At 38.7% G+C, this 15,120-nt stretch overlaps 1 protein-coding gene across 6 annotated transcripts in view; it reads right to left on the bottom strand.

The window, feature by feature from the left end:
* The window catches only part of B3GLCT (beta 3-glucosyltransferase), a 132,302-nt gene that overhangs the window by 80,019 nt on the left and 37,163 nt on the right, over positions 1 to 15,120 (bottom strand). For all 6 annotated transcript variants that reach the window (NM_194318.4, XM_011534936.2, XM_047430111.1 and 3 more), the window contains 2 exons: positions 5,159 to 5,235; positions 4,292 to 4,403 (listed from right to left, as the gene is read on the bottom strand). In NM_194318.4, coding sequence (NP_919299.3) covers positions 4,292 to 4,403; positions 5,159 to 5,235 — 189 coding nt within the window. The remainder of the gene's footprint in view (positions 1 to 4,291; positions 4,404 to 5,158; positions 5,236 to 15,120) is intronic.

Genomic DNA, 15,120 nt, shown 5'->3' with positions numbered 1-15,120 from the left:
GCAGTGGCTGGTACTGGTTGTTCCTTTCCATGCTTACTGCTTCCTTCAGGAGCTCTTGCAGGGCAGGCCTGGTGGTGACAAAATCTCTCAGCATTTCTTTGTCTGTAAAGGATTTTATTTCTCCTTCCCTTATGAAGCTTAGTTTGGCTGGATATGAAAATTCTGGGTTGAAAATTCCTTTCTTTAAGAATGCTGCATATTGGCACACACTCTCTTCTGGCTTGTAGGGTTTCTGCTGAGAGATCCGCTGTTAGTCTGATGGGCTTCCTTTTGTGGGTAACCGGACTTTCCCTCTGGCTGCCCTTAACATTTTTTTCCTTCATTTCAACCTTGGTGAATCTGACGACTATGTGTCTTGGGGTTGCTCTTCTCGAGGAGTATCTTTGTAGTGTTCTCCATATTTCTGAGTTTGAATGTTGACCTGCTTTGCTACGTTGGGGAAGTTCTCCCGGATAATATCCTGAAGAGTGTTTTCCAACTTGGTTCCATTCTCGCCATCACTTTCAGGTACAGCAATCAAATGTAGATTTGGTCTTTTCACACAGTCCCATATTTCTTGGAGGCTTTGTTCATTTCTTTTCACTCTTCTTTCTCTAATCTTGTCTTCTTGCTTTATTTCATTGAGTTGATCTTCAATCTCTGATATCCTTTCTTCCACTTGATCGATTCGGCTATTGGTACTTGGGTATGCTTCACAAAGTGCTTGTGCTGTGTTTTTCAGCTCCATCAGGTCATTTACGTTCTTCTCTAAACTGGTTATTCTAGTTAGCAATTCCTATAACCTTTTTTCAAGGTTCTTAGCTTCCTTGCACTGGGTTAGAACATGCTCCTTTAGCTTGAAGGAGTTTGTTATTACCCACCTTCGGAAGCCTACTTCTGTCAATTCGTCAAACTCATTCTCCATCCAGTTTTGTTCCCTTGCTGGTGAGGAGTTGTGATCCTTTGAAGGAGAAGAGGTGTTCTGGTTTTTGGGATTTTCAGCCGTTTTGTGCTAGTTTCTCCCCAATCTTCATGGATTTATCTACGTTTGGTCTTTGAAGTCGGTGACCTTCGGAGGGGGTCTCTGAGTGGACGTCCTTTTTGTTGATGTTGATACTATTCCTTTCTGTTTATTAGTTTTCCTTCTAACAGTCTGGTCCCCTGCTACAGGTCTGCTGGAGTTTGCTGGAGATCCGTTCCAGATCCTGTTTGCCTGGGTATCCCCGGTGGAGGGTGCAGAACCACAAAGATTGCTGCCTGTTCCTTCCTCTGGAAGCTTCATCCCAGAGGAGCACCTGCCAGATGCCAGTCAGAGCTCTCCTGTATGAGGTGTCTGTCGGCCCCTACTGGGAGGTGTCTCCCAGTCAGGCTACACGGGGGTTCAGGGACCCACTTCAGGAGGGAGGCTGTCCCTTATCAGAGCTCAAACACTGTGCTGAGAGATCCGCTGCTCTCTTCAGAGCTGCCAGGTAGGGACATTTAAGTCTGCTGAAGTGGCGCCCACAACTGCCCCTTCCCCCAGGTTCTCTGTCCCAGGGAGGTGGAGGTTTTATCTATAAGTCTCTGACTGGGGCTGCTGCCTTTTTTCAGAGACGCCCTGCCCAGAGAGGAGGGAATCTAAACAGGCAGTCTGGCGGCAGAGGCCTTGCCTCGCTGTGGTGGGCTCCACCCAGTTTGAACTTCCTGGTGGCTTTGTTTACACTGTGAGGGTAAAATTGCCTACTCAAGCCTCAGCAATGGCGGACGCCCCTCAGAATTACTTTTTGCAAGCACCTGTGTTTTATCTCTATTAAAAATAAATTTAGGCCAGGTGTGGTGGCTCCATGCCTGTAATCCCAGCACTTTGGGAGGCCGAGGCAGGCAGATCACTTGAGACCAGGAGTTGAAGACCAGACTGGCCAACAGGGCAAAATCCCATCTTTACTAAAAATTCAAAAATTACTCAGGTTTGCTGGTGCAAGACTGTAATCCCAGCTACTTGGGAGGCTGAGGCACAAGAATTGATTGAACCTGGGAGGTGGAGGTTGCAGTGAGCCAAGACTGCACCACTGCACTCCGGCCTGGGTGACAGAACGAGACTCTGTCTCAAAAAATAAAATAAAACAAAATAAATTTAAAGTCAACACACCTCATAAAATACACATATATTAAAAGCATACTGTGGTTACAAAGGAAAGACTTCAAACAACATACAAAAATTTATAGAAATCACCGAGGAAGGCAATTTAATAAAGATTAATAAAAGTTAAAAGTTTTACATTTAAAATATTTTGACAGTATACATTTGCATTAGTAAGAATGACTGAAAGATGATGATGGAAATAAATCAGAATCAAACAAAATACCTTATACCCTCACACATTACATAATTATTTTAATGTACTCAAAGTTTATTTGTGTAAATATCAAAGCCAGGTTTGCTTTATACTTTTTTCCCTTCAAATGGTAGAGGACAAAAAAATCACACTGGTTTGAGCTAACTTCAACATCATATAATCTTTATCATTTCTTACTGTTAGTCTCAAAAGAAATAAAGCATCCTGGATGGTTTTTTTTTACACATGGCAGAGTTCTGAAAAGAGGGAGAAAACATCTCCTTTTACCTCTGTTCTGTACTTGCTTTTCATGAACTTGCTTTGAACTTTTAAATTTATCATCCCAATTTTCATTAAAAAGCAAAGTGAGTCACCATCTCCTGTACAGAATTAGAGCTATGGATAATGGAAAAATAACCTCCAGGTGAAATGAACACTAGGAGGAGGTGAAAACTCCTACATCCTAAAAAAGATTTGGGAGTTTTTCCCAAGCCAAAAGGAAACATAAAAGCCTAACAAATGGTTTGCATAAAACATGGCAGAAAGTGCACAGATGCTGGTTAGTGTCATCTGAAAAGACTGGATGAGACAGGTTCATAATTCTTCTCTTTGAAAGAATTATTTTTTTAACCCAATGACCTTCTCATCCAATTATATCTAAAGCTTCCCAGAAATTAAAAGCATGAAGAAAAATCATAGTGGATCTTTCCAGCATTTAAAGATCATCAAAAGCAGTGGTTTCTATTATAGTAACAGGCTTTCCAGGGTTGGAGAAATTAATCTAACGATCACTGTTGCCCAGTGTTTGACATCTACATCAACAAACCGAGCAGAACCCAGAAGCTTGCCTTTTATTCCCCATGAGCTCATTACATCTGATTCATCTCAGGAGCGAGCATTCGAAGGTGGGTGGGACAGGTTTCCACTGGGACCAGAAAGGGCCCATCTCTGCTTATCTCAAGTTTAAAGAATTCCAAAAAGTGATCAGGTTGTAACCTGGGCTTCTTTCCTCTGAAAGAGAACTGAATGAGCTCGATTTACTCTTGACACATTTCCAAGGCAGCTCTCTAAACCTAACGAGCCTTTGAACATAGCCCAGCAGCAAAACTGATTATTACAGGGTTATAAAGTCATTCGCAAATATTCACTGACCACCTACTAAGTGTTAAACACTCTGCTAAGGGCTAGGGATTTCAAGGCAAACAAAATCCAGTTGCTCTATCAAATCTGCATGAAATAAAAACAAGATCTGAAAATGTAAAAGCAGTAGTGGACTTCACTGAGTTCCTCTAGTTCAAGATACATCCCTTCCCACCCCCATTCTTTCTCAAATCGTGTTCCCTCTGCCTGGTAGACCCTCTTTCTCTCTTGCTAACTCCTACTCATCCTACAGAACTCAGATTAAATGTCACTTCCTGTCCTGACCCTCCCAGGTTAGATTCCATGCCCCTGTTATATGCTTCTAACAGCACCCTAGTCTTCCTTATTAGAGATGTTTTCCTTCTAACCATAACTGCTTCTCTAATGGTCTGTTCTCCCTGCTATTCTGTGCCACCCACATGTTCAGAATCGCTGTCTGTTTTGTTCTAGCCTCCGCCATCCACAGTGCTCAGTATACAGCTGGCACTCAAAAAAAATTTTCTATCTAAAATAATATATGGTCACTGTCTAATAAGCAGAAATAGCCAACTTAAGTTTATTGCTAAGAAAAGCAGTTTATGAACTTCAAGTTATAGTTTCCAACTCTCTGAAATTGCTAACACATATATTAACAGATTTTTTTCATTTAAAATGGCTCATTATAAGCTCTGTCCCTCTATAAGCTACAAACTTCAAAGAGCATTACTTAACATATCTCAGATATTCAACAATGTTTCATTCTTTTTAATTTTAAACTAAGTGGTTTTTTATTAGATTCAAAAGCTTCTTAATCAAAATTAAATCTCCTTTGAAACACTGTCCCCCAAAATAAGAACTGGTATTGAAGTTATATTCACCTTAGAGGGGTCATATCTTCTGAGGGTTTCCAAGAGTTTTGGAATCTGTATTCTTGTCTCTTCTTCACAGAAGAAAATCCAAGATGAATTTCTGCTATATGTTACAGAAAAACTGACCAAAAGAAACAAGTTTCAGTAATCACTTCTGTAAAATAAGTTAATAATAAGGTTTAAAACTGATCAGTAGGAAGTGAATGAAGGGTACACAGAATGGCATATCTAATTTTTTTCTCTATATTTTTCTTCAGCTTATAGAAAAGCCAGATGCTAATGGTTTAAAAAACAGCTGGAGTTCGTAAAGTTAATTCTCTCCATAACAACACTAGTTCAGGGGATAAATAATTTTCAAATATCAACTTGAAGCATTTTATTCTTTAAGAAAAAGCATATATAGGGCAGGGTGTGGTGGCTCACGCCTGTTATCCCAGCACTTTGGGAGGCCAAGGCAGACGGATCACAAGGTCAACAGATCAAGGCCATCCTGGCCAACATGGTAAAATCTCATCTATACTAAAAATAAAAAAATAACTGGGAGTGGTGGTGCACGCCTGTAGTCACAGCTACTCGGGAGGCTGAGGCAGGGAATTGCTTGAACCCATGAGGCAGAGCTTGCAGGAGCCAAGTCACCACTGCATTCCAGCCTGGCGACAGAGCGAGACTCTGTCTCCAAAAAAAAAGAAAAAGCTATTCATGATTAAGAACCAATCATCAAGAAATTTGGTTAAGGTAGTAATCATAAAAAGTAAAACTCAAATTTACTTCACTTACTGACTGAGGAAAACCACACCCTCTTAATAAAAAGACTAAGGGCGTAAAAGTGTTCAGGTAGGAATGTCAGTAATTCACAGGTGAGTTAAACAAACGTACTGCGGTAACAACGGAAGTATGGTCCATGCACCTTCTTGTTTAGCCAGCTGATGAAGGAGGAGGACACTGGGGAGCTCCTGAGAAAACAATGATCAAAGAAGATAAGTATGAATTGACTACTCCGAAAAAAAGTAAAAAAAAAAAAAAAGAAAAGAAAAGAAAAGAAAAAAGAAAAAAAGAAAAGGCTTGGCTTAAAATGCAGCTGTTTCTAGAGACCTGACATGGTACTCTTCAAACCACTTCTTTTTCCTCATTTTCTCCAGGAGCTACTGGAAATGAAGTATTTTGGCTGAATCCATGCAACCTCTACACTCTGCACCACCCACACACCCAAATAGAGCTCAAGACCTACAAGGAGGGTCTTCCGTGACTCCGAGCCAACCTGAAATCTGTGAAGGTGACTTGAAGGGAAGAGCCTGGGGGAAGTAGTCAGGGATAACTCAGAGGCACAGAAGCAGTTTTTTATTTTATATACAACATATGGAACATGTGAAAATGAAAACCCTTTGGCTAAACTAGAGGATACAATATTTGATCTACCTCATGTGCAAAAATTACTTTACTTTTTAAAGTTCTCTAAACACATTAAAATACCCTGATAACAAAAAGTTTTGGTCGAGAAATGTAATCCTTAATTACTCAGGCAATAACAGGAATAGCATAATAATGGAATTGACAAATTTATAAGCATAGGAGGAACTAAAATTCAGAAATAAGGCACAACTGTGCTTACATAAATTATGTATACATATATAAAGAGAGATTAATATTTTTAAGGCTACGAGTGTTAGCTTTGAAGCAAAACACTATTCCCTATATTTCAAGTTGTTACAAAAGCCAAAAGTCAAAAATTTCATATCTCATATGCTTAAACCTCCTCCCCCAACAAACTTTATTATATCCTGTGTTTTATACTAGCCATAAAACTATATTCCTAGTAACCATTACAGACAAAAGAATTCAAGAACAAGTACCTAAGTATCTGAAACATTACTGCACTGATGTGGATTTCACAGCTGTCTTAAAGTTCATAGATATTTATTATTTAAGAAGAGAATAGTCTTTAATGTAAATCTTTGGAATTAAATTTCAAGTAAATCTCATTTATTTTATATAATATTCATTTCAACTTCCATGTAGAAATATGAAATGCAAAAAACAGTAATCACAGGTTAAATCAGACAAACAATGTGGTATGTTAGAAAGAGCAAACCTTAAGGCTGAATTAGCAGTTACCCAATATAAATAATTCAGGGCCTTCCTACTGTTACTTCTGAATTATGCAGTAATTTTCATTGTCTTTTTAAAATTCCAGCAAATATATATATTCATGAAGGATTACATAAGAGCAGAAAATCATGTGTAAAGAAACTAATGATGTTACTATTTGCATAAAACTTTGGAATAATTATGGGTAAATGCAAATGTGAGCTAGACAAGAAAAGAAATATAGCAAATACTTTTTAAAGTTTTACATAAAAGTAGCTAATGAGTTATTATGTATCAATTAAAATTATGATGAAAACTTTATAACAACGGAAATGTCTTTATGTTTAATAGAAAAAAACCAGACATGATTCCAAGAATAAAACAAAATCCTAGATGAACAGAGACTAGAAGAACCAGGAAGTGAAAATATTTGTGTCAAGATGATAGAACAATGAGATATATGCTTTAAAAATCCTTCAATTAAAACATAGCTAAGTTTTTTAAACATTGAAGGAAAATGAATGCACCTCAAAAATTTACTTCCAAACAAGTATTATACTTCCTAGTTATAGGATATATATATAATGTAATATCAACAGCTATTAACTGAGAAAAGGCTTCCTTTGATACCTTGACGGTAACCTCAGCAGAAAGGCTACAAAAGCACTTTCCTGGGAGAGATTAGAAGACAAGCTTATTAATAATTTCTGCCACAACATAAAATGTGGGAGGCAAAGGTTTAGGTAGTGCAAACAAGGAATCACATCCTAGATTGAAATAAACTCTATGGATTATCAGTAGATTAAAGTCATTCATAGCTCCATTATATTTGTTTAGTAAATCATATACTAGATTTCATATTTGCTTCAGTTTGTGAACACAAGATCAGTCAAATTTTCTGTCTCTCTGTATCTCCATATAACAACATTTCAAAAGCTAGCATGCCTTGTTAATAACACTCTCCAAAGGTGAGTACTCAAAAATACAAAGTAGGTGCTACTTTGGCACTCAGAAACCTGCTCTTGATTAACTCTTGATTAAGCCAAAGTCATCTTAATTGTAAATAAATTTTAATCTACTAATCCCCAAAAATGCCCAAGAGCTTTTATTCTTGTCATATACATATACACACATATATACACATATATATATATGAATGCACACAGAGACCCAAACAGATGTAATATTACACTTAGATGTAGTAGCACCTTAAAGGTAATTATCAAAAAGGGTGCAATAAAATTTTCTATCAAATGATCTTATCTCAGTTCCTACCACTTAGGATTATAATAATTTATGTTCCATCTATCGCCATCATAAGATTTAGATCTCCTTAAAGGTAGTGTCACTAAATGATACCATTTTTAGATTCAAAGCAAGTTTTTATTTTTATTTTTGGAGACAGAGTTTCGCTCTTGTCACCCAGGCTGTAGTGCAATGGCGCAATCTCGGCTCACTGCAACCTCTGCCTCCCAGGTTCAAGTGATTCTCTTGCCTCAGCCTCCCGAGTAGCTGGGATTACAGGGGTGCACCACCACGCCTGGCTAATTTTTGTGTTATTAATAGAGACAGGGTTTCACCATGTTGGCCAGGCTGGTCTCGAACTCCTGATTTCAGGTGATCCACCCGCCTCGGCCTCCCAAAGTGCTGGGATTACAGGCATGAGCCACCGTGCCCAGTCTCAAAGCAAGTTTTTAAATAAGTAACTGGCTGAATAACTAAGAAATAGTTTTCAAATTAAAATTCAAGGGGAAAATAAGAAAATGTTATATCAACATTACCAAGAGCTGTCTGGAATAAAGACATAGTAAAGGCATTCATGCATGCAACAACTGTCGTCAATCTAAATGATGCCTAATCATGCTACTATTTCAAACCTAAAAGGTAATTCAAAATTCTCTCGATAATGAGATAATGCCGTAACAGGCAGGCATAAAGGAGCTAAAAATACAAATGATCAAATATGGATAAATGACAGAAAAGGGAAAGAAAATGAAAAGGTCGCTTGCAGTAATTTAAACTTTCATGTCAACTCTATTTATCTCTTTGAATTAAAGTCTGCCTTTATCAGCATCCACTGGTATCATAATCACTTTGAAGACAGGAAGCCTACTGAACTTTCAGTCGGTACTTCCTTGGAACATATTTGTTATCAAGGCATGAATTCATATTTAAAGCAGCTAATAATTATTGAGAGCAAACAAATTTAAAACCAACATTCTAATTCATTAGTTGGTTCTTATACATATTCATCATCCTCATTTGGGAAAGGGGTTTGATTCCAATATCACAGCTGAGTATTCTCACAATATTTTTAGAATGGAGAAGGGTCATTATTCTTGACATGGAGGGGAAATCATTAAAAATTTATATGTAGAAATATTAATAGTATGAATGAAAAAGCTAACATTTGAACATGGATTAAAATAGATGAATATATAAAATATCATAAATAACCTTAATTATTCAGCAGATTTGGTTTTGAACCATTTTAGTTTTTCTGCATGTCTGGAAATAATTCAACAATTAAACTACATGGTGCTGGTCTTTCCCTTGTCAACAGACTATTTGCCAGTATTTGTCATTTGTCCTTAATTTAACCTCTAAACCTAGAAGTACATGGGTTTATGGTCTCATTCAGTTTTATTATTCAGACTACATGCTAAACTAGAAAGTAAGATCAGCATTAGGCAAAGGTTCTAAAAAACTGAACTTTTAAGACTGATTCCATTTCAACTGTTTGTCTAAATTCCAACTATTACATCATTCTGAGGCACTGAACTGAGCTTTTAGAACAACAAATAAATTATGGTGAAAATTAACATCTGTTTATTGTTACAATTTCTTCTGTAAGAGGTACGTATGTCTTATGAGGATAACAGAGATCTGTAATATGCTATTTGCAACATGTATCAGACAGATTTACTAGCCTTTAGAAATCCAGTATTCATTTATGGCCCCCAGCAGATTATATGTGATGTTATAATAACATACCTTCTAGGAATCTGAGTCTATATTACAAAAAAAAGAAAAGATTTTTCTAGATACCTGTCTTAATCATTAAATGTCCTTTCCTAACAAGATAAAATATTACCTCATTATTTAGAAATTTTTATTTTTATGAACAATTTACTTTGAAAAGCATTACTCCGTCCATTTTATAGCTCATATAAATCTATTTTAACTAATAATTCATTCACTCACAAAAGGCTGTAAAGCTCAGTATTTAAGGATCTGATTTTTGGAGCCAAATTCCTTTGAATCCTGGCTCTATTTCTTCTGAGCCATGCAACTCGAGTGAGTTTCTTATCCTAGTTGTGGCTCTGCCACCTCATTCTCTCATGTGAGATGACAACAGCAAAGGGGAGCAAGTGAGTTAATACATGCCAGGCACTTGGCATGTGGTAAGCATGTGATGACTATTAACAATATCAATTTTGCAATAATTTTTAGCAACTACTATGTACCAGGTACTGTTCTAGGAATACAGTAAACAGCTGTGATAAGACAGGCAGAGTCCCTGCCCTATTGGATCTCATGTTCTCATGAGGGAGACAGGCAACAAGCAAATAAATCTACAATATAATGTGTCAGGGATAGAAGCCATAAGAACAGAGCTATATGAAGAGACAGACTGAATAGCACACTGTTTACCTATCAACATGGCTCTGCTGCACGAGGGATCATGGCCCCACCTGCAAGTCAGGAGGCAGCAAGGCAGAGAGAATAGGCTTTGGATCCCCTCAGAACTGAGGTATAGGACTGACTCCACTATTTTATTAATCTCTCTAAGCCTCAGTTTCCTCTCTGCAAAACGGCAAGAATAACAGCAACTAATTCATAGAGTTAAATGAGCTGATGCTTGAAAACAGCATAGCATAGTGTACCAATATGAGCACTAAATTAAATAACAATGATTATGAGCACTCAAAAAAAGCTACAATAACTACTGTCGTTTCCAACTCTCTCTACTCCAAACCCTGGGCCCATAAACTAGATGTCTCACTAATCCCTCAAACTCCACCTTTCCAAAAATGAACTCATCATCTTAGCTGAGAGTAGCTCATCCTCTTTTCTTCATCCATTCCCTAATATCCAGTGACACCCACGATGTATTGCCGCCTTCAGTGACAGTCCTCAAGCTGCCCAAGATGGGAGTCTACCAAACTTATACTACATTTCTTCAAGGCTTAGTTCAAATGCCATAAAAAAGCCTTTACTGGCATGTCCAGATGGGGTCACAGCTTTCCTTGCCTATGTTCTCAGGGGGCCATGTTTGTACTGATTCATACAGCAACTCAACCAGTGGAATGACCTGCTCCCCCAACTAGAATGAGCCTCCTGGAGGGCAGGTGCCATTTCCGCAATAGGCACTGGGCATGGCACAGTCTACAGTGACCTACACCCTGGAGAGGCCATCCCTGCTGGGCATCACACACCACTGGCACCATGTTCATGGAGCCCCCACCTCCTCTGCACACTTGCATGTGCTGGCTTTGCACTTGGCCTCCACTGTCACCACTAGACACCCAGAGGAGGGAGGTCTAAAGCTACCTGATTCTTGGGGTCTCCAGCTCCATACTCATCCAACATGCCATGCTGGAAGGGAGGCCCACCCTCCCCTGAGCTTGGGAAGCCCGAGCACCTGGCCTCCGTCTGCCTTAATGGGCTGAGCCCCAGCTCCCTCCAGACACAGGGTGTAGACTTCTCCAGGAAGCAAAGGGGTTCAAATGCTGGGCAACCAAAGAGAGACAAAGGGTCATGACACAGCCTTCCAAATGGTGTGAAGATTTCATTACTGTTGAGCAACTTGGCCTTGAATCTCAATGTTCTATTTCCTGTGATGCATGAAGTTCTATATAAAGACACATGTATAAAAGATGTTTCTAAGAATGCCAGTTGTATATGTGAAAAAGGACAGTATTATTTAAGTGAGAGAATGTGTATAAAAAAAAAATTCTATTTTCTCCTGGAGCATCCTATCCAGGCCGCTGCCCAAAGTAAGTATTCAATCAATATTTGTTGAATGAATGGGTCGATAAATTTGCATTCAACAGCAATGCAATAAAGTCTCGAATTTAATAAATAAAAATACAATTAATGCCTATCAATTTCTAAAAATAAAATTAACTTTTAGTAAACTATTAAGCATCCAACTCCTTTCACTTCAAAAGAAAAGTTTAATGATATACAGCATCAAAAAGCTGAGGCAATAAATCACACTCATGACTCTCAAAGTTAACCTTTTAATGAAGTAACTCACAGTCTCCCTGTGAATAAAAAAAAATTCTGAAATTAGAAAACGCCAGGCCATCTTTCTCAAGCTTCTTTACACTAATCTATGAAAGGCTTTGCTAGCTCTCCTGGCTTAACAAATGAAAATCAGGTGTTTTTAATATAAAAAAAAAAAAAGAAAAAAAAAACTAAAGAGGCAAGGGCCTAACTCTTTTCAAGAAAAATAGTGATTTCCAAAACTTTCTGCAAACAGCAGAAAAAAAATAATTTGTAAAGTTGAGATTATGCCAGGTTTTAAATAAAGGGTTTATAGTCTCACCACAAAAGGCTACAAAATTAGAAGTGTCAGTTCTCTTCAAAAGCTACATAGTTCAGGTGGAGAGAGTATAGAGGTCTCTAAGCAGCTAGGTTAGCTCCATTTGGTCTAAAGCAGAAAATGTAATCCAACCTCTGACCCGCCGACCTCTGCCCCCAATAATGAAACCCTTTTAAGCATCCTGACTTCTGATTTTTTTTTAGAGAGGGGGGCAGTATTTGCAGGTTGCCTTGCCTGGAACCATAATGTATCTCTGGTTCTGCCTATTTCTCAGCTCCTGCCTTAATTCTAAACACTGTCCTACCCCTCTCCCCAAATATTCCTTCTACAGTGGCTTACTTCTCTGCTCCCCATCCAAAGTGATTCCCTGGGCAAGCAAGACCCTGGCCTTGTGCTGAGGTTAAAGTTCCTACTTTAGTGTCTTCAAATGGTGCCTGGATTCTTGCTTTACTAGAACCTACTGAAAGCAATGCAATTATGCTTTATCTTCTCTCCTTCATTGTTTCCAATTTAATCTTACGTAAAGTTCCTCTGGAGAACAACAATGGTTTTAGACAGGTGTTAATATGCTTTTGAAACTACAGGAAAGATTGTTTCAGCATGGGATCCGCTTGGTGGCTAGACCCCAGGTTCTAGAAGGAAAAAAAAAAAAAAAGACTCAGGTGACAGCTTTGCCATCACAACATAAATTCAAGATACTTAATAGTATCATCTCTAGAACCTGAGCTGTTTGCTCTTTTGTTTCATGTAACTAACAAAATATTTAATATAAGAATTTTTACACAAATATCCACTCCAGAAGGAATTTTAAGTCAAAAAAACAGATGTCAAATCATAATTGACACAGATGCAGTGCACATAATAGGCATCTGAACAAAATAAACTCAAACAGGTGATTTATTAGATCATTGCACAAACTCTCCTTATGGGTTTCTGTCTGTCTCACCTCCACTTTGCTTTTTGTTTGCATACCTCTTTAAATAGTCAGTCTCGATCACTTCACATTACCCTTCCATCTGTGATACAGGGAGGAAAAAAACAGGGAAAAAAATAGCTCTTCTTCAAACTCTGTATTCCTCTATGTGCAGATCTGCATTTAGGAAGCCGTAGTCATCAGCCACATCCCCACTCTCACCGACCCTCCCTTCCATTCACTGCAATCTACAAAGATCACATTCCACTCCCAACACACACTTTACCCATCCCACAAACTGTTCCCTTACAAATTCCAGTTCCTACTTGGCATCCCAAAAGCAGACCTTCTGGCAATTCATGTCTTCATCTTCCAGAACTATGTTCTAAACCTATGTCCTCCAGCTCATTTTCCCTGTCTTTCCTGAGTGATTTCACAAAAGTCTTCCCGCCTTCTCCTCTCAGGCTTCACATGCACAATTAGCACAGCGTCAACTCAAACTTTTTACATATTGCTACACAGCTTCAAACACGTTATCGTCATTCTCAAGGCCCCCATGTGTTGTCTACAGATGTCTTTTTGCATTCAAAAATGACTAATATAACCATAGATGCTCAATTAATATTTGTTGAGTCAATTTTTTTCTCTTTTGAGATGGGGTCTTGCTATGTTGCCCAAGGTGGTCTCAAACTCTTAGATTCAAGCAATCCTCCTGCCTCAGCCTCCTGAGTAGGTGGGACTACAGGTGCGCCTGGCCTATTGAGTGGATTCTTTAAAACACTGATTCTGTACTTACAATTTCTGCTTAATGATATACTCACTTATATTATGAAATAGTTACCATCTACTTTATAAAAACGAGAATACGCATTCTACTAAATTCCTTTCTAATCCTTTGTGACAGAGCAACTTAGAATGATACTCTGCACATAGAATAGAACCTGATGAAGTCAGCTGAGTTATAGATTGGAAAGAACATAAAATTATCAACCTCAGCACCATTATAACTGCATGATAAGCTTCAAAACTGGAGATGGAAATGACTACTTACAATGACCCTTGTTGCAGAAAACAAGGGAAACAGTTTAACTCTTCTACTAACAACTCTGCACACAGTATTAAATGTCAGATAAAAAGTTAGTTTACGCTCTTTCTTTTTAGATTCATGCTGTAATGATGAAAAATGTTTCCGTTTTTAATAAGGCTGCATTTTAGCACCTTGAGGCAAAACAGGCATAGGTAATGACTTGCCTAAGCAAAGAGAATAGCTGGAAACAGATGCATAATCACAGAAGTCATTAAATTTTTGCACCTTAATTTTTTGGCAGACTTTGTAGTCAAGTGCAACCTGACAGAGTAATGACTAAACAGCAGTTCTAGACATCTGGTATTGTGGGAGGAATATATATTTTGAGCTATCAGATAAATATTCAAATGATAAAACTTACTGCTGACTTCTGCCTCACCAAGCAACTTTTACGAATGTTCATGGTGGGCAAATTGATGAAGAAACCAAAACTGCAACCTTCATGCTTCACAGTTGGGGTCCCAGGTGACATGAGGGTCCCAGACATCCCGTCCCTTACAGGCACGGTGCATACCTGCCACACCAAGCTGCTGAGACACCCCTTTGAGGAGCCAGCCTGCTCCCACCACAGCACTGGGACGCCAACAACTTATGCCTCTTAGTTTTTCCCTTTCTCAGCTCCCACAGCTGACGGAGTCACCAGTTCTTTCTTGAGCATGTCCATTTCTTAAAACAGCCTCCAGTAGACGGGGCATGGTGGCTCACACCTGTAATCCCAGCATTTTGGGAGGCCAAGGCGGGTGGGTCACCTGAGGTCAGGAGTTCGAGAGAAGCCTGGCCAACATGGTGAAACCCTGTCTCAACTAAAAATACAAAAAATCAGCCAGGCGTGGTAGTAGGCACCTGTAACTCCAGCTGCTCTGGAGACTGAGGCAGGAGAATCGCTTGAACCCAGAAGGCAGAGGTTGCAGTGAGCTGAGATCGCACCACTGCACTCCAGCCTAGGAAACAGAAGCAAAACTCCATCTAAAAAAAAAAAAAAAAAACAGCCTCCAGCTAAGTTTTAACTAAGGAGCCCTCCTGCCTCTTTAAAGTGACTTTGCCTCCCTATGCTTTGTGAATTTCAGCATTTAATTCTCAGAAGTTGATCTTATTTCTCTATTTTCATTTAGTTCCAGGTGAAGTTATCTCATCATTGCCCCCTAAGTATTGTCTACAGACCCTACGTTAGCTGTCAGCCATTCTTGTTCTTGGATCTCTCT

The sequence above is a fragment of the Homo sapiens genome, chromosome 13 (genome assembly GCF_000001405.40).
Source record: "Homo sapiens chromosome 13, GRCh38.p14 Primary Assembly".
Lineage (NCBI taxonomy): Eukaryota > Metazoa > Chordata > Mammalia > Primates > Hominidae > Homo > Homo sapiens.
This window is presented reverse-complemented; position numbering and strand designations above follow the sequence as displayed.